Here is a 27,520-nt window from a genome sequence, read left to right on the forward strand (position 1 = left end):
TACCCGCACTGGGCATCCCATGTGCCCCACATCTCTGGCACATTAGCCCATGGCTCAGGTGGCACTGGCCCCGTGGCATAGGCGAGAGGGCAGGCTAGGGACTGCTCCTACCAGTGTGTCTTGGGCTCTGTGCCCACTACCTGGTGGGGAGAGGTGTCCACTTTGTCCACTTCATGGCATGGGAGCCGATGCGGCTTCAATCCTGACTCCGCAGCTGCCTCCTGACCAGTCAGCAATCGGGAGCCCCGACCTCTTCCCTCTCCATCCTCACTGCAGCCTGGGCAGGCCGGAGGCCAATGTCCCCAGGGCAGAGCTGGGACAGTCCCAGTGGGAAGGAGGCCTGGCCGGGCCAGACAGCAGCCTGGGAAGGAGCCGTGTGTTGCCTGGGAGTTCCACGGCACCGGCTGAACCTGCATCTTGAAGGTTTGATTGATTGCGTCGTTCAGAGTGAATATATTTTTTAATAATCGGTTTCCAAAATTAGTCTTTCTCTGTGTAGCAGCTATCACAAACAGCATGAGACGCACTCCTTTTATTTTTTTTTTACCTGCCAGAGGCAGATATTTGTTTTTCCTTCAAGAGAGCAGCAGGTGAAGGTGTGGTCCCCGGATCCCAGCACCTGGAAGCTGCGGTCTGGTCCTGCCTGCTTGGAGCCTGTGGGCCGAGAAAGACAGGGGCAGAGGCAGCCTGACCAAACCTCCTCTTGCTCCCACTCTCCGTGGCTTGCGGGCCAAGCGACATCAGCTCTGCACCCCTCGGTTTCCTTAGCCGATGGCGATGGTTTGATTACTTCATCACACTGTTTTGGGATTAAGACAGGACAAGCTTAGTGCACACATTATAGCTGCTCAGTGCCCATTCAGTAACTGGTAGCTTGGTCCTCCTACCTCGTGCCCTTGCGGTAGCTCTGGGAAGCCAACTCTGTCTCCATTTGACTGGTCCTACAGGTGCGGGTTTTAAACCCTACGTCACCCACATCTCCTTTTGGACATCACAAAACTCCTGAGGTGCCCAGCCCACTTACCCCCAAGTGCTCACCTTCTGTGAGCTCCTGAGCTTCTTCACCAGCTGAGATTTTTCCTTGTGGAGTTTTCTACTTCTGTTGTTTGTAATTCAAACTAATAAGTTCTTCCTGCATTTGAAAAATGAAAACATGGTGTAATATTGAATGTTGCTGTTCAAACTGCTCCCCACACCCAGCATTTTGCAATGTCCCCCAGGGGCACACACCCTTGATGCTTGACTGAAAAACTACCATACCAGTGACTGTCTGTATCTCATTGGCCTGAGAAATTAAAAGCTGCTACTGTGTTACATTAAGTGTCTGCTGTACGCACCGCCCTGGGCTGGGCCAGTCCTGGGGGATAAAGAACAGTATCAGAAAGATACTCAGACAGAGCTGTCTCTGTGGTGGAGGAGATGAGAGCTAAGAGAAGTGAAAATGCAGAGCCGAGGCCAGGCCATCCCGCAGTGTCCACTGGTGCAGGGGTGGGCTGCGGGTCGCGAGCCACGGGAGCTTGCAAAAGGGAAGGGCATGGCTTGAAGTCAGCTTCCCGGAAGAGGAAGAGGCGGTCCTTGGCTGATGGCAGAATTTGCATGGGCTGATAGGAAGGGACGGCTTCAAGGTTGAGTTGGCTAACAACTCGAGCCAAGGCCCAGAGGTGGGGATGAGTTTGCTGCCAAAGGGGACGGCTGGCAGGAAGCTACTCAGTGTGCTTGTTCGTCTCGCTCATTAATTGGGCACAAAGAGCAGCAAATCCCATCCCCATCCCGAGGCCCTGCAGCATGGTAGGATCATGCCCACTTCTCCCTGCTCTTAGACCAACGTGGGTTCTGCCTCCCCTGCCCAAAGCGTAGGCGCAGACTCTGGGTGGAATCAAGGTGCAAAGGAGGCCTCGATTCCGGCGGTTTCAGAGGGCTGCTCCCTGCGTAAGTCATCCACCCATCCTCTTGTTACCCCACCTCTGGCTTCTGGGGGCCCCAGGACTTCCCCAGCGCTGTCCTCAGCCCTGAAACCTCCATGGGGTTTCCATGGAGAAGTGCTGACAATTTTGTTTCTACTCTCCCAGTTCTTCCTGAAATTCATCTGCATCAAAGTGAGATCCCTTATGCTCAGCGCTCAGCAAGGCTGTGGTGATTAAGCACTTAAATTGATTAATCAAATTTCCTGTGATGAGAACTACTGTCATTCATTAATCTGAGCGGGATTATAAATAAGAGATGGCAGATACAGGAGACAACCGTGTTGACAGATGGACACGGTGGCCTGAATCACAAGTAGGTGCCTGCTTCCTGGGGGCTTTCGCTGTGGGCAGCTGGGGACGGAGCTTCCCTAAAGACAAAATTATTCGGAGATTGAAGTATCCCCATTTTAATAACGAAATATGCATAGATGAGCAGGCAGCCGGTACAGGGAGCACGTAGGTTCGCATACCAATGGCCCGGTTGTATTCATGGAGGTGGTAGCAGCAGCTCCAAGAGATAAAGAATCTGCTAGAAAAAGAGGCCAAAGCAAAGTGGCACACGGGTTGAGAATATGGGTTTGAGGGTCAGAGCAGCCCTGGGTGCAAATCCTGCCTCCATGGTTTACTCAACGCGTGACTTGGCTGAGGTTCTCAATCTCCCAGAGCCTCCATTCCCTCACTGGCAAAATGCGGATGCTGATAATCCTGATTCCACTGGGTTGTTGTTAAGAGTAAATGAGACAATATCTATGAGGCACTTTTTATCTAGTTTACAAACATTTATTGAGCACCTACTGTATGTCAGTACTGTGCTGGTATTTAGAGATTGGCAAGGAATAAAGCAAGCATGGTCCCTGCCCCCAGAGCTGGTGTTCTTATGGAGAAGGCAGACACTGAGACTCAAGGGCTATGACACAGTGCTACTGCCCTGGCCTTCCCAGATGCCACATTCTCTGTTGACCTCCTGGACTCAGGATGTCCTTTCCATCCCTGTCTTTGAACACTTCTTCCTGCCTGTGGTCTCTCCTTGCCCCTGCGCAGATCCTCCTCCTGACTTCTTGGCCTCATTCACTCCAACAGAACTGTCCCTCCCAGCTCAAGTATACTGTGTCTCTACCCAAGTCAAAGCCCTGGATGACGGCTGCAAAGCATAAGGCTTCGGGTTCCCAGCTCAGTCACACATAAGCTTCATACCCTAGACGTGTATGATGATCTGCATGAAGTCCATTTCCCCACTTTCGTGGGGTACAGTCCCCTTGAGGCAGGGACCAGGTCTGTTCTGGTCCCCATCGCATGCTCAGCCCCAGCATCGGGCCTGGCCCATGGCAAGCCTAGCTAGTACTTGTTGAGTTAGTAGATGCTGCATCAAGGTGGCCTTGGGAGCACGTGGAGATGATGATAGCCATGTCAGACGACAGCAGGGAGAGTGGAAAGTCACCCAGCCCTGGGCATCCGAATCAGCATTTTCTGGAGACTGGCGCCTGGACCACCTCAGCACAATACCTACCACTGATTGAGCTTCTGCTTGGCATATGGCCCTGCTAGGGCACTGGGAACCCAGTCTCACCTTCCAGCCATATTGAGTGGCACAGAGGAGGCTCGCAAGCAGAGATGATTGCAGTGCCCTATAGTGCACCGTTGGGGTAGAGGGAGGCCCAGAGCCTGGGGCATTCTGGGTGAGCTGATGCCAGAGGTGGGTTTTGTAGATGTGGAGGTTTGGTAAGAAGGGAGAAGTGGGGCTCCAGAGAGGGTCCCTCAGGTCTCTGCACCCTCTTTTCCATTTATTTGTACCTCCTGATATCCTGTCCAGGGTCCCAAGACAGCCTCTACAGGGGGTCCCAGCTGAGCAGGCCAGAGGGAGGAGGCACAGCCTCTCACCCATGCCTCTGCCTGGACACAGGACCAGGAAATGCCATCCCCAGTCTTGTTGGGCTCAGACATTGTGATCCGTCGGTGAGCCATCGAGCCCCTCCTTCAGGCCCCCAGAGGAAGCTGGAGGAGTTTGCGGAGGGTGGGAGCTGGGGCTGGGAGCAGGGAAAAGTCAGATTCCCTCGCTCAGAGGAAACCCGCTGGTGCTCAGTGAGATTAAAACTATCACTCCTGGCTGAATTGGCCTCTTCTACTGTTTTGCTAAATATTTAAAGACCCCTTATTAAAAGAGTTACCATCTTAAAAATGTCAGATCTTCATCTGTCATGTCCTTCCTCTGGAGTGTGGCCTCAGGGCTGTATCCAAGCACCCCAGAAACAGAAACCCTCTTTGCCCTGGGCCCCAGGATCATTTCAAGTGGTTTCTGAGGACCCACTCTGTACCCAGCACTGTGGCTGCCCGAGCATCTGCCTCTCCAGCCACAGTAGCTTCTGCCACGTGATGGGCTGGCACCAGCCTGAGCAGGTCTCAGGGAATATGGTGAGGAGGCAGCTTGGGCTGCAGTACGTGGCCATAGTGCACTCTGCCCAGCCCAAGGTTCTGTTTGCTGCTTCCCTCCTCCCTGGGCACCAGGCTGGGCTGGAGGCAGAGAAGCTAAGGACAGCCCAGCCTAGGGAGTGAGGAAGCAGGAAGTGAAGCCCTGAGCCACGGCAAGGTCTTGGCCCTGCTGATGATGTTGGGCAAGCAGAGGGTCATGGGGGCACCGAGCAAGAAGCATCCACTTCTGCCTGGAGGAATTAGAGCCAGATTAGAGGAGAAGCTGTTGTAGGATTAGGATGAGAATTAGGTCTTTGAGCAGCACCTAAAAGGTGAATACCAGTTCACTGGACATAGAAATGGGGGTTTCCCCCAACCCTCTAAAAACAAAGAAAACCAGACAACACAAAGACATACAGGTTCAAAGACTTGTTCAACAAGCAATTGAGCACCTACTGTATGCCAGGAACCATGCCAGGCCCTGAGAATATAGAACTGAGTGTGACATGTTCCTGCTTCCCGTAAAATTTGCCCGCCTAGCTGGGGAAATAGACTAAAAACAGCCCATGATGTGGAATCAAATGTGCTGTAATAAAAGCGGTTGCAGCTGCCTCCCTAGCACGGGGTAGGAGGTGGGGGATGGGGTGGGGGTTACCTCTGTGCCTCAGGTGGGAGGTGGGAGGGGTGCCTCAAGGGGAGGTGATGTCTAAGCAGGTTTTGAGGATACCCTGAATCCACTAGGAATGTGCAGTAGCTTGGTGTGGCCTGGACAGATGGGGAGAGAGGGAAGTACTGATGAATGAGACCAGAGAAAGGGCCCCAGAGTACAAGGGAAAGGCATGGGAAAGAGATATCCAGAGCCTTCTGGAATGATCCAAGCAGAGAGGGATGGAGAAGCCGCTGCTATGAGGAAAGACTGCCCCACAGAGACAAGGGTGGAGACGGAGCTGGTGAGGAAGGGGAAGCCCATGGGAGCTGTGGTCTGAGCTGGGTCTGAAGGGCTGGTCAGCCGGGGGATGCCCCACTGCCCACAGATGGTACAGTGAGGCTGGTGCCAGTGTGGCCCACAGGGAACGAATGCCCAGCCAGAGCAGAACCACCCAAGGTGACCCTGGACGGGGGAGGGGCTCAGCCTGGAGGGGGAGGCGGAGCTGGCCTGTGTCCCCTCCCAGGTGGAAAGACCTGGGCCCAAGGCCACCTGACGCCGGAGGAGCCAGAGAGAAGAGGGGACACAGGACAGAACAAAGACATGGCTGGACGTTCACTCACATCCACCCTCATGGTAGAAGAGTCTGGAACTCAGTTTAAATTTTTCAAGTCTTTCATGAAAGGGGAGGTTGCCTCCTCTTCCTAAGCGATGAACATCTCAATTTGCTGCTGCTACAGAGGGCCAGGGGTAGCATCACTGAGGCTAGGAGATGTCACCGGATGTCAGCCTTGACTTGAGCGAACATTCAGGGGTCAGGATGGTGTCATGAATGGAGCTCCCAGAGCCTGCGAGTCCAAAGACCTGGGTCCCATCTGGGTGTGGCCACAGATGCCTGGCGTGACCTTGGACACAGCTGTGGCTGCTCCAGGCCTCCCTCCTCACCTGATAAACAGGGGAGTTGGGCTGGTGGGTGGACAATCCCTCTCTGCTCCACACATTTTCCATCCCGGTGCATCCTCCGCCCGCCGCTCACCTTGCTGTCGGCAAGAGTTAAGTTTTACTGAGAAAAGAATTTCTCTCTGGAATATTGAGTATAATTAAAACTCTGCTGTGAAAAAAAAAAAAAAGCCTAGCAAACACTGAGAGACCTAGAGGAAGTGAAAATGTAAAAACACGACCCCCATTTTCCTCTCCCTATGACATGGATTATTAAGTCAGGTTTGAAAAGTTCCTATTAAATATTTAAATATTTCATTAAATATTCATCATCTCAAAAATTGCTTCCTAACAGATCCTTAGGTAAATATAACAATATTTGATCACAAAAGCTGCTTGGCCTGACTGAGGCTCAGGAAGGGTGATACTCTGTCTGGGGCTCTGGTCCCACGGGTACAGGGAATCCTGCTTACGAGAGGGAGGCTGAGAGACCGGGAGGGGAACACACGCCTGGCCACCAGGAGGGCCCGGGTGGCCACGGACTTGCCTACTGGGCGAATGAGCCTCAGAAAGGTGATACGGCAAACGGAGCTCATGTGGCTTGTAGTGGTGCAGCTGGGAGCCGAACCCATGTTGGCCGGACCCCTCTGTGGGCGATGAAGAAGGCTCTCCCACAGTAGGGGCTGCCCGCTGGCTTAGGCCATCCCAACACTGGCCACGTGCAGGGGACATTGTGAAAGGGACCTTCTATCAGACCAGCAGCTGGGCTGGAAACCCTTGACATCCCTTCCCCGGGGCTGTGGAGGGGAGGGGTGCTCCCCTGGGGTTCTGTGGAACTGGATTCACAGCCCGGTTGTTCCTTGTAAGGGCACCTGGTCTCCCAAAGTGGAGTATAAACAGCTTTCAGTGGGCAGGACATGTGGCAGCCACCCTCGCCTCCACCGTCTTTCTTACCTCCCAGGTATGGTGCTGGGGTCTGCAGGAGGGTCTCAAACCTGGAGCTGTCGGGGTTTGGGCCAGATGGAGGAGTCAAGGTGGAGACCGTCCCGTGCACTGGAGGATGCGGCTCCCACTGGGCCTGCACCTAGTAGATGCCAGTGTGCCCCAACCCCTCATGCCCACCTGAAATGCCCAGACACTTCCTATGCCCCCAGGGAGCCATACTGCCCCTGGCTGAGAACATTGCTTTACCAGAAGGGCACTTTGTAAACACGTGGTGCGCGTGGATGGTGTAGCACCATCTGGAGGGAGAGAGTAGGGGAGGGAAGCAGAGTGACTCTACAAGAAGGGCACTTGGTAAACACGTGGCACGCATGGATGGCATGACACCGTCTGGAGGGAGAGTAGGGGAGGGAAGCGGAGTGAAGTCAGGTTGATAGTGTTGGGCCTGCCTTTGGCCTGAAGGGCTTTGAGTGGGGGCGGGGTGGGGGGTGAGGGGGTGGGGGAGCTGCTGAGTGCTGGATTTCAGCAGCCACGGTGCCAGCTTTCAGTTCCCACATGGGCTTCTTCTCAAAGGCCTCAGGGGATCGTGCCAGGCTAAGGGGTCCCTGGCTCTGCTCACCTCCACCTGGCACTCGCTAGGCATATGCTGCAGCCCCTAACCCTCCCTGGGGCTCAGGACTCAGTGGAACGGCAGGGACTCAGAGCAGCCCTGCCAGTGCCACGGGCCTCCCAGCCCTGTGTGGGGGTTCTCTCGTCCACCCGAGTGCTTTCACTGGCCCTGGAAGCCTCCCCAGCCTGAATGCAGCCCTTGGAGGGTGGGGACACTGTCCTCTCCTGCCTTCCTGTGCTGAGTGTGAGGAACTCCCATGAGCATTCCAGGTGGGCTCGCTGCTGAACAAGGTAGAAGCTCTTCACTGCTTTTTATAGTGCAGGCACCTGGGTGCAGAGAAGCAAAGCTATTTGCCCAAGGTCACATGGCAATCAATCCAGGTTTACACCCAGGTTGGTCTGACCTCAGAGCCCATGCTCTGAAGCAGGCTGTCCATGCACACCACACAGACTGCCCATGTCACTGAGTCCTCGGAGCAGGTCAGCGGGTGCTCCTCTGCGGCCGCTGTCTTGATCCTCCTCATTCCAAACGCATGTGTTTGCAGAGCAGAGAGGGAGTCTTGGTGCCCAAGCCCAGTCCCCGCACCTCCCTCCTCTCCTTCCCTGGGCAAATTCTGGGGTGAGGAGGAGGGCACAAAGATTGATGGGCTCCCCTCACTGGCAGCAGGCATGGACATGGAGTGGGGGGGCTCTCCCCTCCAGAATTCTGATGCATGACACCTGCTGCCAGTGCCACCCTCTCAGGCTCCTGGGTGACAGGAAGGTGTGAAACCTGACGTTTCCTTGGGTCTGGAATGTGTGCGAACCTCCATGTCCTGGAGGAAGGACCCTCTGCCTGGGGAGAACTGGTCTCCAGGTGGGTGCTCAGCTGAGGCCTCTGTGGAGGCCGAGGCTCTCTGTGCTGTGTCCAAGCTGGGAGCTGGGCAGGCGCCAGCCCTCCTTGTGGGTGGGGGACAGAGCCTGTCCCAGTCTGTCTGGGCTGCTATAACACAATCTATAGACTAGGTGGCGTATAAAAAACAGAGATTTATTTCCCAGAGTTCAGGAGGCTGGAAGTCCAAGATCAAGGTACCAGCAGGTTCGGTATCTGGTGAGGGCCTTCTTCCTGGTTCATAGACCGTGCCTTCTTGCTGCGTCCTTACGTGGTAGAAGAGGCAGGGGTCTCCCTCCAGCCTCTTTTTATAAGGACACTAATCCCATGCACAAGGGCTCTGTCCCCATGACTTCATCACTTCCCAAAGGCCCCACCTCCTAATCCCATCTCCTCGGGGTCAGGATTTCAGCATATGAATTTGGGGACACAAAAACATTCAGACATTGCAGGCCCCTCTGTGGGCGCCCAGCAGCACTGCCTGCTTGCTCTGAGGCAGCGATCCAGGCTGTTTTGCACACACAGGTGGAAATGGCTCCAAGGTACAGAAGCAAAATGTTTCCCAAAACAAACAATAACCTGTCGTGAACATTGATACCAACATGGTCTGTGGGGCGCCATGGGCTGGAGGCCTGGGCAGCTGCTGGGGGCCACTGCCGAGCAGGAAGGGTGGCTGGCGGTTTGCACATTCTTAAGGAAAACAGCAAAGAAAGAAGAAGCTGACCCTGGGAGCATGGGCTGTGTCTGGATTCTAGACAAACCACAAGGCTGATAAAGCGAGGAGATGTAGGCCTAGACATTTGTCAGGATGGGGCTAGGGCTTCTTAACCCAGCGAAGCTGCACCCAACGTGGTGTGCGTGGGCCAAGCAACATTTTTCTGACACGAGGTCTCTAACTCTCATCAGAGAAGTCAGAAGCAGTCTAAGACCACCGGGCCAGGCAGAGCAGCTCCCACCAGGGTAGGCAAGGATGCTGGCAGCGTGTGGGATCCAGGAGTCAGAGCCCTCTGACCTCGTCTTTTCCAAGGGCCTCAGTTATCTCACCTAGAAGATAGGAATGAGGGCCAGGGCAGTGGCCCAGCCCTATAATCCCAGCACTTTGGAAGGCCAAGGCGGGCGGATCAATTGAGGACAGGAGTTCAACACCAGCCTGGCCAACATGGTGAAACCCCATCTCTACTGAAAATACAAAAATTAGCTGGGCGTCATGGTGCATGTCTGTAATCCCAGCTACTTGGGAGGCTGGGGCAGGAGAATCACTTGAACCTGGGAGGTGGAGGTTGCAGTGAGCCGAAATAGTGCCACTACACTCCAGTCTGGGCAACAGAGCAAGACTCGGTCTCAAAAAAAAAAAAAAAAAAAGAAAGAAAGAAAAAAGAAAAGAAAGTACTGGGGCCCAGTACTCAGTGGAACGGCAGGGACTCAGAGCAGCCCCCGAGGAGTATGAGCCTGACTCCTTGCTCCATGCAGCCCCCAGGGGAGAAAGGCGTTTGATACCACACTTCGCAACAAGACCACCAGGTGGCTTGGGGGTAGGAGGGAGGAGAGGGGCAGGGTTTGAATTCTGGCACTGCCATCATGTTACCCTTAGGGCCTGGTGTCCTGCTTGGAGAGATGAGGCCCAGGATGAAGCCCCACCAGCCAGCCCAGCAGGGATGCGGCCCCCTTGGGGACTGCAGGCACCAACTTGGAGGCCACCATCCCGCAAGCCATGGGTCTGAATCCCTGTGGAATGTGTACAAGTCCTGAGCCTCTCCAAGGCTTGATACTCCATCCTGAAAGAGGATGTGCTAATTCCCTCCTCCTTGAAGGTTGTTGTAAGGACCAAAAGTGAGGATGGGTGCCCATCAGCCAGCCAGTGAAGACACTACCTTAGGCAACAGTGGCCCAGAGATACAACAGCTCAGTGAGACAACCTGGGGAGACTTCCCTAAAAATCCAGAACACAGAAAGTGTGGCATCAGGCAAAGGATTTCCATTATGAGCAGCCACAAGAAGGAAAGCAGGCGCCCTGCCACCTCCACCCACCTCTGCTGGAGGGGAGGGGATGGAAGGGGCCTCTGCAGCTTTCACACCTTGTAAGCAGACCAGATGCAGAAGTAGAGACAGGTGGGATTGAATTAACCACAGGTGCCCGGGGCTGCAGGCCCCACCGCCTGCCCGCTCTGCCTGCAAGATTCAATACCGCCCCGTGCAGGTTAGCAGCACATTGGATTCCAACGAGTCATATTTTAACACTGCTGGATAGTTGCAGGTGACAGAAAACCTGTTTCTTTCCCATTTTATACATCCAGGAAATTTGTACCACATGCAGCCTGCATGTCATTACACACTTTAAAATACTGCATTCTCTCTTTCTGGAGCCCGCGGACCCATCACAAGGCAGATAAAATGCAGGACCGAGGGTGAGAGCCCCTCTATTGGGGCAGAGAGAGCAGCTAAATGCAGGGCATCTCATCTTACTGTTAAGAACTGATTCCTCCCTTCCACCCCCAGGAGGATCATCCTAGAGGCTGCAGGACAATCTGTTATTTCCCCGGGGAGGTCGGCGAAGGTGTTAGCTCGGGAGAAGCAGGTGTAATTACAGAGGCCCAGGCAGGGCACTGCATTAATAGATGTAGGCTCTTCAGCTAGAGACTTATGTACATGTTGCTGAGGCCCCAGACCCTGCTGAGGCTCCAGGTCCAGAGAGCAAACCTCCTGCCTGGTCCCATTAAAGCACTGAGCCAGCCCCATCTCTCCCCGTCCCTGACTCCAGTTGACAGCCATTTGCATGATGTTCTCATCTGCAGATTGCACTTCTTGCTGGGGAGCTGCTCAGAACCTACCGGGAGGGGTTTTGGAAAGCGGATTTCCAGGGCTCCAGATCAGTGCACTGAGCTCTGCAGCTGCCTGGATGGCCCCAGGCAGCTCAGCCCCCAGGCTTTACCTGGTGCAGGGATCTCCCTCCTACTGTGGCCAGGTGGCCGCCCTCGCCACTGCGGCACTGCCTACGGAGGGTCACAGCTCTGCCTGGGGGATGAGGGATGAGTCAGCTCGCCCCATCCCTGCTCTCCGAAGCCCCAGGTCCCTCCTGAGCCACCTTTCCACCTTGAGTCCTTAGCCCCCTGAGCTTTACCAGAATACGCACTGTGTGCCAAGTGCTGTGTCAGGTTGGGGAGGTGGTGGGGAACTTGAAGCCTAGCCTCTCCCTGAGAACCCTTAGAATGGACAGGGAGGCCTCCCTTCCTCCTGTCAATGAACCATCACTGAGCACGTTCTCTGTGGCTGCTCCCTGTGAGGCCTGGAGTCCACAGCTGAGTTTGGGCAGAACCTCAGCCCTCAGAGCTCCAGAGGGTTCTCACCCAACCAGAAGGGCTATTGGCTCCCTGCCCTCAGCTCCCCTGGTTTCCTCTGAGCTGGGTCCCAGCAACACACCATTGTCCAGTAGCTCTGCTGGGCCGCGTGTGCAGACCCAGGGATGCAGAAATACATGAAAGGTCAAGTTCATGCCCACAAGGAGTCAGCAGCCTCATTGGGCAGGTGGGCCCCTTAGAAGCTAATATGGAGGGGACACAAGAGGCAGGCAGCTCCCAGCCGCAGTGCTGAGGTTTGGACCTCAGGCTCACTGGGCTAGGCTACACAGAACACCAGGCCGGGGGGCTAACCCCCCTCTAAACTGGAGGCCTCAAGGGCAGGACAAACTTTGCCTGGTTCCCCATCAAATTTCAGCACCTCGAATGGGGCCTGGAATATAATAGGTGCTCGGCAAACTTGTCAGTTGAACAGATAGACTCACGGGGGGTCTGTGTCTCCTGCATCCCCCCTGGTTCCTCTCCAGGCCCCCCTCCGCCCTGCCAGGAGGGTGTGTGTGCTGAGGCAGCTTCCCCAGGGACTGGACAGAGTGGAATCCCTGGCCCTTGTCTGTGCCTGGGCCACGGTTTCTTTTTGTTTGTTTTCATTTTGGTCAGATTCACATAATGCAAAATTAACTTTTTAAAGTCAGCAATTCAGAAGCATTAGTACATTTACAGTGTTGTACCGTCATCACCACTATCTTGTTCCAAAACACTTTCATCACCCCAAAGGGAAACTCCCAATGCATTAGCAGCCGTTCCCCCTTCTTCCCTCCCTCTGCCTCTAGCGACCACCAATCTGCATTCTGACCCTATAGGTTGACCTCTTCAGAATGTTTCCTAGGAATGGAATCATACAATGTGTGGCCTTCTGTGCCTGGCTTCTTTCAGTGAGTCTGTTTTCAAGGTTCATCCATGTTGTGGCGCATGTCAGCTCTTGGTTCCCCTCTCGGGGTGGATAACGTTCCATTGTATGGCGAGCCCACATTTGCTTACCTCTTCCTCTGCCGATGGGCATGTAGGCTGTTCCTGCCTTGTGTGAAGTGTGCCACTGTAGATATGTGTGTGCAGGTACCTGTTTGAGTCTGTTTTCAGTTCTTTTGGGCAGTTACCTAGGAGTGGAATGGCTGGGTTGTATGCTAATCCTATGTTTAACTTTTTGAGGAATGGGCCACAGTTTCTCTATGAAGTTCAAACGAGGTTCTTGAATCGGCTTCCAGTTGACTAACTAGACTCCAAGGAAACACAGATGAAATAAGACCCCATCCCAGCCCCCAGGACCTCCTGGCCTGCTCTCAGCCCATGTGAGGCAGCAAAGCTGCTGCTGGGACAGGAGGACCCTAGGGGAAGCTTTGGAGAGTCCGAGCTCCCAGCAGCATCTGGTGGCAGAACCTTCTTTTGGCTTCGTCCCTGAAGCATAAATGTGGAATCGTGTCCAGCGGCAGCCTGGGTTCCCCAGCCTGGGAGGTTCACGGGAGGAGGCTGGCCCAGAAAGCACATGGCCCAGAATGAGCCACACGGGGTGACTGTGGCTTTGGGCAGGTCCCCCTCTCCCTGCACCTCCCTCCCCACTGTCATTATCTGCAGAGTCAGGGGTGGGCCTGACAGCTTCCAGCAGTCTGTCCAGGTGCCTAGATCTCTATACTCCTGGACCCCAAATCTAGGAACCACTAATCAGGAAGGAAATTCCTCCACCAATCCTTCCAGGCCTTTCCACAGAGAAGGCAGCCCTTTTAGCATTTTATGTCCGGATGAAATAGTTCTAGGCACTATGCTGGAACCCCCAGCTCTGAGCCAAACAGGCCTTCCCTGGTCCCCCCAAGTCCTGGGGGAAGGCTGCCCTGCACCTGTCCCTGGAGGGGGACATGTGGGCAGATGGCACAAAGGTGGTACTGGCCATAAAAGCCATGTTGCAGGCAACAGGCTGGTCCCATTGGCCTTCCCTGCTCTCTCCTCAGTAGGAGGCAAGGCCTAGAGAGCTGACCCTTAGGCAGAAGAAGGGGTGGCTGTGGCAGACAAAAGACCCCCCTGAGGGAGGGAAGGAAAGGGACGGTGGGGTTCCCACTTTCCTTGGAGCTGCTGTGGAGTCTTTGCTCACTCATGCTGGGACCCGGCCCCCCGCAGCAGCCCGGGGACCTGGAGGTGCATCCACTGTGGTGAGCTGCAGCAGGCGTGTTGGGTTAAGACCTATGTGGTTGGTTCTGAAGAGAGCTGGGAATTTCAGGGGAGACCTGAGCGGAACCAGGGAGGATCTGACATTTTTATAAAAGGAGGTCCCTGTGCTCATCCAGTGGGGAGGGGATCCCAGAGCTTATGTCCCCGAGGGGAGCTCTGACTCTGTCCCCCTTTCTGTTTGCACTTGGGCAGGGCTCTCGAGTCCTTGGAAGCTGCCGTTTATTTTAAAACAGCCCGGACTCCTTGAGGAAGCTGAGGAGAGAGGAAATGGCAGAGGCGACCTCGCCTCACACTTCCTGGGCGGGAGTCCCCACTAGGTGGCCGCCTGAGCCATGGGGAGCTATTAGGAGGATCCTGCTGTAATCAAGAGATGGGCAGGCAGGGGACAGAGTGCCCCGTGTCTGGGGAAACTGAGGAGGTTTGTGTTTATCGAAGACCTTTTATGTGCCAGTCACTGCAAACGTATTGTCATTTAATCCAACAAACCTGCAAGATCAGGGTCATCCTTCATCCCCTCCCTACTAATGAGGACATTGTGATTCAGTGTCGCGGCCACTGGCCCACAGTCATCAGTGCTGCTAAGATGTGCAGGCGAGTTTCAAACCCAAGTCTGGCTTAGTGCCCAAACTTCCACCAGGCACCCCAGGCCCAAGGCCAGGCACCCCGACCTCCATCCAGGAGGACCGAGTGAGTTTCTCTGCCTGATCAGGGAGGATAGGAAGGGGCCTCTACCCCCGCTTCGTCCTACTCAGCTCTCTCCTCCTGAGGGTCTGAGGCCTGGACAGCAGTGCTGGGCGGGAGGCCTCAGTCAGCCTGGGTCTGAGGGTGCAGAGCTCCCTGGGGACATTACCTCTTCCTGCAAGGGGCAAAGTTCCTCAGTCCCTGTGTTAAAGGAAGGTTGGCTTCTCCTCTGCCCGAGATCCCAGAGCGCTCACAGTGCAGCCCTTCTTTCTGCTAAACTGCAGACTTATTTTATCAGCAGTTATTATTGAAGTCTCACCATTACTATTATTTTCATTCTGCAGATGATGAAGTCAGGGCTCAGTGAGACTGAGTGATTCAGCTGGGGTTCATCCCCCTGCTCCGTGCCAGAGCCTCGGAGGTTCCGATGCACTCAGGGCCCTGGGGGCATCCAGGGCCGGCCTGGCTGGGGCAGCGCATCTGCAGGTGTTTGAGGCACATTTGTTTTCAGGGGAAGGGGCGCTGCTGTGCAGACCCTGCTAAGTCTGTTCCAGGACAAGACATGCTGCCCATCCCTCCTGCTTCTCTAGTGCAGGAGCCGCGGCTCGGCATGGTTCTGCGTGTGTGTTTCCGACACTGGCTCCCAGGTGGAAGGCCTGATGCCGCCCTGCTGTCTGCTCTCTTTTGTAGAGATGTTTTCGTGAACTTGAGAAAAAATCGGGAAAAGGCCGATTCCCTCTGCCCAGCCCATTAATTCTGCATGCTCAGGCCGAATTAACCTTGGCAAGCCTTCAAGAGGAGAGAGTAATTCTAACCTTAAAAATCTGCTGATGAAAGCTGGTTTCAGGAATCCAACTCCTCTTAATGTCCTGGCAGACAGCTCAGCCTTGCATTAACATAGCCACAGACCGGCCCGGCGTTTCCCTCCACCTGCTTCATAAGCAAAACCCTGTTGTCCGTTTTAAGCAAGAATCCCTGCCCAGACTCCCTGGCCACATGCAGCCGCACATGTTGGAGTGTGCCGTGGATACCTACGTGGCGTCACAGGTGCCTAGAGCGGGCGGCGCTGGGGAGCTGGATGCCAGCAGGCTCTGGAGCTGAGTAGTAACCACAGCCAGGAATCCCGGCAGTGCCAGCCCCGCAGACGCCTGCCCACAGGAGAAGAGAGCCACTGATTTCTGGGCAGCACTTGGCCCTCCGTGCCGTCCAGAATGGCCTCGGGGAGTGGGCTCCTGGCATCTGCATCTGCTCTCCTCTGGGAATGGCAGATGAGTAGAGAGAAAGGCCGGCCACCTGGGGCTGTGTAGCCGAAGCTCCCAGCGCCAGAGGGTACAGCCTGAGCCTCCTTACCAAGGCTCAGGGTCCCACCGTTGGTCATCCCTGAGGCTGAAATACACAACACCCCTGCTGGCCTAACAGGCTGTTGATAAGGAACACATCAGACCCAGAGCTACTTGCAGGCATTCGTCAGAGATCCCTTGTGCTTAATGCAGGCAGACCTGGTGAAGGGTGAGGGGGTACCCATAACAGAGGGATGGAGGAAGGGAGGGAGGGAGATGGAAGGGAGGGAGGAAAAATGGGAGGGAGGGAGGAAGAATGGGAGAGAGGGAGGGAGAGAAGGAGGGAGGGAGGAAGGGAGGAAGGGGGGCAGGGAGGCAAGAAGAATGGGAGGGAGGAAGGACAGGGAGCGGGAAGGAGGAAGGCAGGCCATCACCAGTATACACCACTCTGGAGACCAGCTCTAGCCACTTGGCAGGGCTCCAAGAAATAGGTCTCAGCGGTACATTTTGATGAAAGAGAGGGAATTTCACTTTATTTATATATTATTTATGCCCAGTACTTTTAGGAAGTATTTGAGATAGCAACAGCACTGATACATTGAAATAGGCTAAAAGAACAAGAGCCAGTGGGTGGGAGATAACTGAGCAAGAATATACACGTACACTGAGCAGAGCTCCTGCTGATGACAGGACCGCAGATCCCAGCAGCCTGGCACACCCAGCTCAGAGAAAGCCTGTTCTTTGCTGGGGCCCGCAGGGAGCCAGGTATCAGGACAGATTTCTGAGACACGAAAGGTGCAGGTCTCCAGCTCCCGCTTGGCTGGGCCTGTGCAGGGTGAGGAGCTGGGCTGCCTTCCCCAAAGCGGTTTGGCAGGTGCTGGGACACAGCAGGGGCCCATGTGGGCCTGGCTGAACGTCCTCAGAGGGTGGGAAAACAGGCAGGTGAGAGTGGCCAGGTTCCTGGACGTGACCCTAAGCAGCAGGCGCTAGAGCTGACGAGAACAGCCCATGTGGAGCGTGCAGCAAGGCCCAGATGGGAGCAGCCCATGTGGAGAGTGGAGCGAGGCCCAGCAGAGTTCGGCGCCGCCCTCCCGTTCCTCCTCCCTCCCATTCTTCCTCCCTCCCTTCCATTTCCCCTCACCCGCCCCGCCCCCTGCGCCGCCGTGCCCCTCACCCGCCCCCTGCGCCAACGTGCCCCTCACCCACCCCTGGCCTTCTCTGACTTGAGATTCATGACTTGGATCAACTCTTTCTCTAAATCTAAATTTACCTTATTATCAATTTTTAGCTATTATTCCATTTTATGCCCACTAATTTATTAATCTTGGAACCCCCAAAAACAATAAAGCTGAAGCTCCAGATATTTTATTTATATCTTTCAACATGATTTTTATGGCTTTTTATCTAAAAATTCATTGAATTTTTATTGCCCTCCTCACTCATGTCGTCGTTAGGCCGGCGGCCGCTTTATTTAGATGTTTCCCCTGCAGATACTTGGGGGCCCCAACAGGAAGGAGCTCAGGTGAGGGGAGGTGGGTGGGGGCAGAGGCACGGGTGCCAGCCTCCTAGGGGACTACTAGGTTAGGTCCCCTGCCCCTCAGTGTCCCCGGGCCAGGCTGTGTCCCATGCCCCTCAGTGTCCCCGGGCCAGGCTGCACACCTCCCTGGTTCCTTTCTGGAGCACACACTGTTCTCCGCGACTCTTACCTCTGCTCCCATTTTGCCTTCCAGCTTGCAAAAGGGCCTATGCTGCAAAAGCAATCTAGAACATTCCTCAGAGAGGCTGGGGGAGCCTCCAGCTTGAAGACCCAGTGTCCCTCTCTCCATGACCCCCCTGCAGAGTTTCTCACTGGTCTTCATCCAGACCGAGGGGCCCTCCTTCCTGTTCCCCATTCGACGGCACACCTGTCCTCCCTCCTGAGCAGAGCTCTGGGGTCTCCAGGGTCCCCACCTGGCGGGTCTTCTTGGTGCTCTCTGCCTGCCCAAGGATCCCCCTTCCGCGGAGCTCCGGCCGACCCAGATACCCAGGGGAGGAGTCTGTCCTGTCCCCCACGGCCAGAGGCCCGCAGGCACTTTCTGCCTCATGATGGGGTGGGGCGCCCACGTGTCCTGCGCCTGCCTGGCGCTGCCTGGTTCTTCTGGCTGTTTCCCTCACCAGCTTCCTGTCTGGGGGTGGGGACTAGGGGGTGGCGGGTGGCCAGCTTTTTGACGTTTGCTGCCGTTCCTGGTTTCTATCTGCTCTTCAATCGCCTCCATCTCAAAGGAACCAACCTTCATGGCCAGACTGGGCCACCTGGTCCCCTGTGTCCCTCCAGGGTGTGCACCAGGGCTTCTGATGAGGGAGACGGGGTTAACTCCTGCAGGCTTTGCCGGCCAGGGGACTGGAGTTCAGATTCTAGCTTTATCATGCCCCTGTGACCTCTGCCAAGGAAGGAATTGATGCCTCTGAGCTGCAGTTCCCACATCTGCAGAGAGGGATTCATACTACTCTTCCTTCCAGGAGGGTGGTGAGGTCCCTGGAAGGGCTACCCTTCCTCATCCTCCTGTGTCCACTATGGCAGAAAGAGTGATTTAACATTGTGGAAGGACAGGACCAGCCAGAATGCCAAGCCAAGGGACGGCTACTCTCCCAGGGAGCCCTGGAGAATGAATTTTGGGGAGCCTTCCCGCCCCTGCCCAGAGGAGTCCCCCAAGAAAGTGCAGTGTTAAGGGGCTGTTTTCAGGAGAGCCTCTAGTCCCACTTGGGGAGCCTGGGCCTGAGCTGTGGCCGGCACCTGACTTCATAACCTGAAGGCATCAGGGTTTGGGGATCCAGGCCAGCCCTCTTGCTGTCTGGCCTCAGTCCCCTGGCGTGGCAGGGCCACAAGCTGCTTTGGGAGACACCATTGCAGATTGTCTTAGGAAAGAGGCCAGGCTAGAGCCCTGGTCAATGACGATCTAATATTCCAAATCTCTGCTGTGACCCAACCCTGGAGGCTGAATCAGACTGCAATCCATTTAGCTCAAACTCGTTTTAAAGCAATTCACTATTTAACAAGTTCTGAGGCGCCATGCTTTTGCAGGCAATATGTGAATTGAATCATTTGGTCTAATCTTAGATTAATACAAACCAAATCCTTCAGCGAGGACAGTCTTGGGAGCAGCTCCAGGACTTCATCTCATTGTCTTTGATGAAGGCGGGTCCCAAAGAAGACCTGACTCTCAGCCAATGGCACGGGTGTCTGAGCGAGGACCAGGGGGTGGCCTGCTGGGGAGGAAGGAGCAAGGGCTTTGCGGTCAGATGACGCTTGTTTGAATCCTTCTGCCTGTTCCTAGCCGGGTGACCTTAGACAAACTGCTGAGCCTGTCTAGGCTCTGGTCTTCCCCACAGATGCCTCTGTGCAAGACACTTGTGCAACTAGAGAACTAGGGTAAGAGGAATCCATGTCATCCTCTCCTTGCCCCACACAGGATCTTGCCAAGGCCTCCCAGGATCTGCGTCTGCGTTCAGGGTACCCTGGGGAGCAATAGGGCTGCTTGGTCCTCCTCCTGTGCCTTGCTGTACCTGCTGCTGGTTAGGGAGCTCTGGAAAGTGCTGGAAGGTTTTCACTCCCACCTGCTCTTTGAGGAGCACCTACTTCTTCCTGACGTCTAGGCTTTGACAGGAAAGGAACCACATTTTTACCCCCTTCTGTGAGCCCCACAGCCCTGCCCTTGGACATCAGCGTAGCACACTCAGGCCCTGCTTCTGCTGACAGATCTGCCCTCCAGGCTGCAGGCCCCTGCTCAGGTGCTGCCCTACCCCACTGACAGTCCTGGGCTTGCAGTCCAGGTAAGTCAAAGTCCCTCCCTGGTGCTGTCACCCCAAATCTGGAAGAGAGAGACTTTCCTGCCTCTTGGGTCACAGCCGGAAGAAGGGGACTCTGGCTACGTGCCACATGAAGTCAGCCCAACTGTAGTGGGAGAGAAACAGCGCAGGGAAGGCATACAGAGAGGAGAAATGGAGACATGGGATGGTGAGCGGGTCAGAGCCAAAGTTCTAGTCCTGAGCCTGCACTTGAGCCATCAGTTCTCAGAGCAATCCTGAGTCCTTCCTGGAAATCTGCTTCAATACACAGAGTCTGGACCAGTGGAGAAGGGCAGCGCCATAAAATCACAGGGCCTTTGCTTCAAAGGCAAGGCCATCTGCCAGCCGCTCACTGTGGGTCCCTTAGGGGAGATTCTGCAGAACTGTGTGTGGAGTCATGCACTCGGCCCCTGCAGCTTCACCCCGCATGCGGGACGCGGATGAGAGAGCTGGGGAGGGGCCCGCCGTCCTCTCCCGTGGCGGCCCCTCTGCTTTGCATCCCTTTTGTCCACCTGGCCAATTCCCTCTCACCTTTTTTGGCTCAGCACAAATGTCACTTCCTCTTAGGTGACTTTGCTGACCTTGAATGAAAAGGGGACACTTCATCCTCCGGGCTGATCCTGCCCCCTCGGTACTCTGCCCTTAGCAACAGGGCTCTTTGATTTGGTCTCGTGTGTTTGCCCGGCATGTACACGCTCTCTATCTCTCTCCTCTACGAGACTGGGGGAGGCTGGAGGACAAGAGCTCAAGGCAGGCACAGAGCAGACAGCAGTGAAAAGTTACTCACATGGGATCTGGTCCCACACGTTCCTTGGATGTCCAAGCTACGGCCCAGCTGGTCCAGGATGCCCCGTTCTGGAGGCTGTGACTGCCCCCCCCAACCCCAGCCTGCCCCCAGTTCTGCCTCTCACCTGCTCCTGTCCCCTCATTGCTTGAGGATAGCATTAAACCCTCATCTTCTAGGTGGATTTTCCCTTCCCTTCTATGAGCTCTTTTCTTCCATCAGCTTTATACCCTGGACACATTTTAAAAACTGTTCATCTTTGTCGTGGGTACATCAGATACAAGCAAGAGTGATAAACCAAGCACCAACAAAATCTATGTTCTCTCTGATTGCCTTTGTGTAGACAGCCACTTCCCTAGCGGCAGAGAGATGGGCCCAGTGGAGTCTCTGGGGCCAGCCACAGGGGCTGTGGTGGTGTGGAGGCCACCACAGCCAGCCTAACGTGGTGCTCTCTGACCCCTACCGGTGGCCTGGCTGCTAGGACTGGGGCAGGGCTGTTTGCAGAGGAGGTAGCAGAGGGACCCTCATAAAAGAGGATTATAGATGGAGATTTGCTGGTAAACACCCCTGTCTGCCGCCCCCGCGGGTATTATCCTTGCATTAGAGAAGGTTTTAGGGAAGAGAGGGGAGGGGAGCTCAGGAATGAGCTTTGCCATCACAGGCACAGAAGGCTCTGGGGAATCTTCCCTGGTTGATTCAGGCCTGCCCAGGTAGAACAACAGGTGCCAACCTTCAAGCATACGGACTCCCCAAGTCCTCATCCCTTGAAGCCCTGACTCCCCCAGATCGTGGCCCCTGGGGTCCCAAGCTCCCAGTGTCTTTGCCAAACATCTCTGAACTGGACCCTAACCCATGTTCTCTAGCGTGGGAGCATCGGTATAACTTTCTGCCATTGCTGTGCTGTCCAATGTGGTAGCCCTCGGCCACATGTGGCTGTTGAGCACTTGAAATGTGGCTGCTGCAACTGAGGAACTGAAGCTTTGATTGGATTTAATTTTACTTCATTTAAATTTGAATTCGAACAGCCGCAGTGACTAGTGGCTGCCAAGTTAGATAGCCCAGCTTTAAAGACACCTGTTGAGCAATGCCAAGGATGTCTTTTCCAGTGATCCATGAAATTAGATGCTGGCCTCACATTTTCCCAGAATGGGAGGTCAACAGCAAGCCCTGGCTTCTGGGGGTTCCCTGCCTCCTTGTGGGAGGTGGACCCAAGGAAACAGCATAAAAGGGGCTTCCCTAGAAAAGGTCTTCATGGCAGACCAACTAGAAGTTCTAGGGTCATTTTGTTCCTCCAGGGGAAAAGGGCCATGCATGCTCATACTCAGGACCAGAAAACAAACATCCCAAACGAAGTACAATTGGAAAGACATTTCCAGTTTCCTTTGTGTCTGTATCATATGCAGTCCATGATCTCCCATACGCCTGGGCCATGCTCCCCTTCCCTGCCCTGCCTAAGGGCGCACAGGAAATCACACATATTGAGCACCTGCTATGCGAATGTCACTAGCAGTGATTTAAAATTGGGAATTTTTTGAAGGACGATATAATCCACACTTGTCCCAACCTGACAGGTCACAGGTCAGCAAGCAATGCTCCATAGGCCAAATCCGGCCCACTACCTATTTTTATTTTATTTTTGAGACAGAGTTTCACTCTTGTTGCCCAGGCTGGAGTGCAATGGTGTGATCTCGGCTCACCACAACCTCCGCCTCCTGGGTTCAAGCAATTCTCCTGCCTCAGCCTCCCAAGGAGCTGGTATTTTTATTTTTTATTTTTTGAGATGGAGTCTCACTCTGTTGCCCAGGCTGGAGTGCAGTGGCATAATCTTGCCTTACTGCAACCTCCACCTCCCAGGTTCAAGCAATTCTTCTGCCTCAGCCTCCTGCGTAGCTGAGACTACAGGTGCATGCCATCACGCCGGCTAATTTTTGTATTTTTAGTAGAGATGGGGTTTCGCCATGTTGGCCAGGCTGGTCTGGAACTCCTGACCTCAGGTGATTGGCCTCCCAAAGTGCTGGGATTACAGGCAGGAACCACCACACCCGGCCTAACTACCTATTTTTGAACAGCTGTGAGGTAAGAATAGCTTTTACATTTTTTTTAATTGTTGAAAAATAGCCAAAAGAAGAATACTCATGACACTTGAAAATCATCTGAATTCAGATTTCTGTGTCCGTGGTAGTTTGATTGGGATGCATCCCCACCCCATTCCTCCTGCCGCTCCTCCCCTGCCCTGGCAGGGACCTAGTAACCCCCGAGGCCACCCGGCTCTCAAAGCTGGACACATCTGCTCTCTGACTCTTAGCAGGAAGTCTGCCAGCCCACAGGATGGGTGAGGTGAGGCTGCAGAGGTGAAGAGTGAAATGACCCGAGGCAGAGTCCACATCCTCCCTCCACCCGTGTGCCCACTGTCTCGCTCTGATGAGTGTTCCCAGCGTCTGCTCCTAGGCCACTGGGTCGGGGGCTCCTGGAGGGGGACCTGAGCTGGACTCCAGCTGAGCGGGGTCTTCGGAGGCAGCACAGGGAGGTTGTCCTGGTGAATGGCACTGTGTGCGGCAGAGCCTATAGGTGGGCACATAAGGCCTCCTGGGGCCGGGGGTTCATGTGAGCAGGGACACGGGGAGGGCTGCCCTGTGGCCCGCTGTGACCTTCAGGCCCCATCTGCTCCCCGGGGCTCCATGCCCTAAGCATGCTCTGCTCAGGACGCCTTGGGTAAGTTGCTGAATCCTCTGCGGCTTCCCCCAGGCAGGGCATGGGAGGTGGAAGGAAAGGGATGGAGGGTGTGTGTGTGTCAGACACAGAGACAGGGACAGGCAAGGGAAACAGAGACAGGGAGAGACAGAGAGACAGAGAAAGATGGAGAGAGATAGCAGGAGAGACAGAGACAGATACAGAAACGGAGAGAGAAATAAAGACAGACGGGGAGAGACAGATGGGGGAAATGGGAGAGAGACAGAGAGAGGACAAGACAGCTGCAGAGATGGAGAGAGAGAGAAAGAAAGAGACTGAGAAAGAGATTGAGAGACAGGGAGAGACAGAGAGAGAAAGAAGATGAGACAGATACAGAGATAGAGAAAGATAGAGACGGAAGAAGAGAGACCAAGGGACAGAGACACAGAGAGGCAAGGAGAGAGAGACAGATACAGAGATAGGAAGAGAGAAACAGATGGTGGGAGTAGGTGGGGGCAGAAATCTGCTGCGTCAGATGAGGCCGTAGAGAGCTGGCCGGGAAGGGAGGTGCCCACAACATACCAACCTATAAGTGATGTGCTTCCTTCTTGGGCCACTAAGCCATCACTGCCCAGCCTTCAGGAGCCCTCTTTGGTGTGGGACCCCCACTGCGTTTGAGGGGGCTCTGCGGCCATGCTCCCTTCAGAAACGCCACTTTCTTTTTTGAGGCATTTACTTTGAGCTGAAGGGAGCTCTTGTTTGCTGTTGGTTTCCCCTGTAATTTCATCTTTACTTTTTTATAAAAATAAATAAATAAATAAGCCCTATAGTGTCATAAAAGCAATTTTGAATATTTACCAAAAAATTTTTCCTTGCTCAACTGCCATGTTAAGGGGAAGCTGCCAGGCCTTAATTCCCCAATACAACTGATTCAAAGGTTGCTTTCATCTGAAAGGTGATGTCCTCCCAGGTTTCCTATAAATACCTAGTTGCTTCCTTTCTCTCTCTTTTTGTGTATACACAAAAATAAGGGAACCCACGGCATGTACTCCCTCACACTCCCACACGCGTGTGCACCTCACACGCGGATTTATCCACGAGCCCCGGAATGTGGCTCCCTGCAGTGAAAAGCTCAACTGGGGAAACCCCAGAGGACCCTGAGAGCCTGATCAAAAAGCGCCAGGAGTTTGTACAACACAAATCACTACAGACAAACTTGATTGCTTTTTTGATTAGTGGATAAAGGGAATGGATTCGCCACACGGCCTCATGGAATATTGTGCAATTAATCCCCAATTGGCTTGGTAATGACCTTGTCATATGGCCTGGAATCTGGTGAAAAGACTGCAGAGTGAGGGCGGTGGTAGCAGCTAGAGCCTGGGGTCAGGGCTGGGCTGTAGGGTGGTTTGGGCCAAGGGGTGAATGGAAGGGGAGAGGGAATCTCCTGTCCTTCACTGGCTGCTTTTCCTGCTGCTGTGCTTCCCTCGGCAAACCCTGCTCATCCTTAAAGCTTTTGCAGCCTCCTCTGATGTCCCCTTCCGGTGACAATCACTGATGAGGGTGCACACTCACGGGGGGTCCAAGGAGCATCCCGAGGGTTCCATTGCTGCATAAGCTCTCAGCCCACACAGCCACCCGAGAGAAAGGATTAGAATCGTACCCATGGTGCAGCCTGGCAGGACAAGGACTCTCTGAGCCCAAGTCACACATCTCCCACCCCAGGCAGGCTCCACCTCTCGCCGAGGCCCTCACAGCCACCCCGGCTCATCAGCAGGGGATTGCCGTGAGCTGCTTTCCCCACTTGGACAGCAAAGCGCGACTCCACACAAGTCTGCTTTCCTTGAAACTGAAGCTCAACCCTTTAAGCCCTAAATGTAGAGCCATTTTTCAAGGTTGTTTTCTAGTGTGTATTAGAAGTCCTTAGCGTTCAGGGTGCCACGGGCAAAACTTAAACATTGACCGTCTCTGGAGTCCTTTCCTGGGACCTGTGTCCTGGAGCTGCCAGTGGGGAGAACTGGGATATCTTTATTCAAAAAGCCTAAGGCCCTGTGCCCTCAGGAGCCCCCATTCTGAGAAGGCAGATGGGTAAATTAACCAAATAACCAACCATTGGGGTAGCCCAGTGTGCTGAGCCAGGCAGCATGGAAGGGGTCCCATTCCCTGTGGGCTTCCTGAGTCCCTGGGGCTCTTTGTGTAGCTTTTTTCTTTCCTCCTCTGGTACTGTTTGATGTGATCCTTGCCTATTGGGGATCTGCCTTCAGCCGCACTTCCCATCCCTCCCACCATCCAGGGACCACGCTTCTCATCCAAGGAGACCAGGGGCATGGGATTGCCACAGTGGTTAGAGGAGTATCTAAAAATGGAGTAACCGGGTTCTGGAGTGAGGGCCCGAGGGTTCCTCTGATTCAAATGAGTGAGCCTTGATGTAGAAATGGCAGTGTTTCTTTCATCTTAACTTCATTTTGTTTATCGGATGGTTCTGGGGCAGTTGTGGGTAGGCCAGAGAGGTGTTAGGAGGCTTCAGGGGAAAGCGGGCCTGGGCCTTCCTCTTCTTTTGTAGGTTCACAGAGGAAACACAGTTGGTGTTTGGGAAATTCTCACCTCTGAGTGTGGGGTTCAGAGATGCTGAAGCCCAGTCCAGGCAGACAGGCAGGCAATCGAGGGAGAAGTGATGGTGAAAACCAACCACGGTCTTTTCAAGTCCAAGAGAAAGTAGTGGACAGAGAATAAGACAGGTGAAGAGGGAAAGTCATTGCAAAGTCTAGAGAGGAATAGAGTGGGGAAACAGCAGATGGAAACCTCTTATTTCAAAGGGACGAGAGAAACACCCCTCAGCCGTTGATATCTCCCTCCATTTGGCTCATCACATGAGTCAAAGTAATGAACCTGCCTGTGAGAACATGCAAATTCCAAAGGAAAGGAGATGGTGAATGTCACAGGTGGGTTGCTTGTTCATTGCAACCAAACGCTTAGACAAAAATGTCTAGACATGCGTCTCCTTCGGCAAGGAGTGAGTTATCAAACCACCAAAACAACGAAAACAAAACACCGTGTCTTGAAAACCAGAAAAGTCAAGAAAGAATATTGCTTTCTTAATAATAAATACATTTCATGGGCAAGAATTGCAAGGGAATTGTTTAAATTAATTTCCGCTTTGTATGTTTGGTTTATACAGGGCTTAAGTCCCAGCTGACAGTGATCTGTAAAAGTTCTAACATATTGAAATCTGATTTTCTTGCAGCCAGAATCGCATAGTCCAAAATGATTTCTCTGTCAACTCTGCTAATCAGACAGGCAGGGCTCCGATGGACTCCTAGTTCAACCAAATTGCACCCGCTCTTTTGGGGGTGTAAATAATAGCTGATGAAAGCTTTAAAGCAGAGCTGGTGGCATTTCTCTCTGGAGAGCTGGTTCAAGGGTATGGGGACAACAGTGAGATTAAAATGAGCAAGGAGAGGTGGGGGAGGCCTTTTCCCACCTGGCAGATGTCCTGTGTGGCTCTGAGGAACTTTCCTCCCCTCTATGCCCCACCCCTTCTAGAGCGGATGCAGTGGGAAGCCAGGGGAACTCTGAAGCTGATGGAAGGGAGATCATTCCAGTCTGGAATCAGAGGCACCAAAAGAAAAGCTTTGCCCCTGGCTTTGGTGGGGGCCCCCATCACTGGGTGCCTTGAGACTTCCCTCTCCAAATTGATGACCTGCTCAAGGCTGGGCCCCTCCCTCCCACTCAGACCTTCCAGCTGGATTGCAAGAGGGACCTGATCAATGGTTCTCCTTAGGCCCCTTTCTCCATCTCACCAGCAAGCCTGGCCCACGGTGCCCAGCTCTACACACGCAGGCAGCACCAGAGAATCAGAGCAGGGCGGCCTTCCTCACCAACATGCCAGCCCCAATGACCCCACCCACTGGTCAACTCTGCTCACCTGGGTCTAGGTGATGGGCCCCTGAGAGCCATCCCGACCCACAGTCCACCCTTCCTGACCTTGACTTTCCACCCACCTTCTCCAACCTGGCTCTGGCTGTTTTCCAAAACCAAATCCATCTGCAAAAGATGCAGGATTACTTAACAAATATATGAATAAACAGTAGGCAAAGTCAACAAGCAGGGATGCACAAGAGGCCCCACAAGCTCTAGAAGCCCATCCTGGGAAGTGCCGCCCCACCCTGTCCCCCCTGGTTGGGCTCGTACCGGCCAGGGCCCCCTGGCCAGGAAAGGTCTGTAGCATGTATGTTTCATGTGTTTAATGAATTCTGTAACCATCAGCCATTCCCTGTACCCCAAAGGGTCTTAACCTAGGCTCTAGGAATGAACTACAGAGTAACTCCAAGCCCCTAAAATTATAGGAAAATGCATACGTAGGTACATTTCCCTGGTCCTTGGCTGTCCTGGGTTC

General features: G+C 54.2%; 1 protein-coding gene and 1 long non-coding RNA gene across 25 annotated transcripts in view, besides 1 other annotated feature; one reads left to right on the plus strand and one right to left on the minus strand.

The window, feature by feature from the left end:
- Nucleotides 1-27,520, plus strand: part of CAMTA1 (calmodulin binding transcription activator 1) — a 984,253-nt gene that overhangs the window by 654,596 nt on the left and 302,137 nt on the right. The window lies entirely within an intron of this gene.
- CAMTA1-AS1 (CAMTA1 antisense RNA 1) lies at nt 518-1,568 on the minus strand. The gene is made up of 2 exons (NR_187278.1): nt 1,039-1,568; nt 518-799 (listed from the first exon to the last, which is right to left on the minus strand). It is a non-coding gene; the product is annotated as a CAMTA1 antisense RNA 1 (long non-coding RNA).
- Nucleotides 17,330-17,997: an enhancer, noted in NCBI's record as "H3K4me1 hESC enhancer chr1:7517439-7518106 (GRCh37/hg19 assembly coordinates)". NCBI's record gives its function as "activates a minimal SCP1, AML or CMV promoter by ChIP-STARR-seq in primed H9 embryonic stem cells {active_cell/tissue: H9 hESC(primed)}" and the evidence as "EXISTENCE:reporter gene assay evidence [ECO:0000049][PMID:30033119]".

This window comes from Homo sapiens, chromosome 1 (assembly GCF_000001405.40).
Source record: "Homo sapiens chromosome 1, GRCh38.p14 Primary Assembly".
Taxonomy (NCBI): Eukaryota; Metazoa; Chordata; class Mammalia; order Primates; family Hominidae; genus Homo; species Homo sapiens.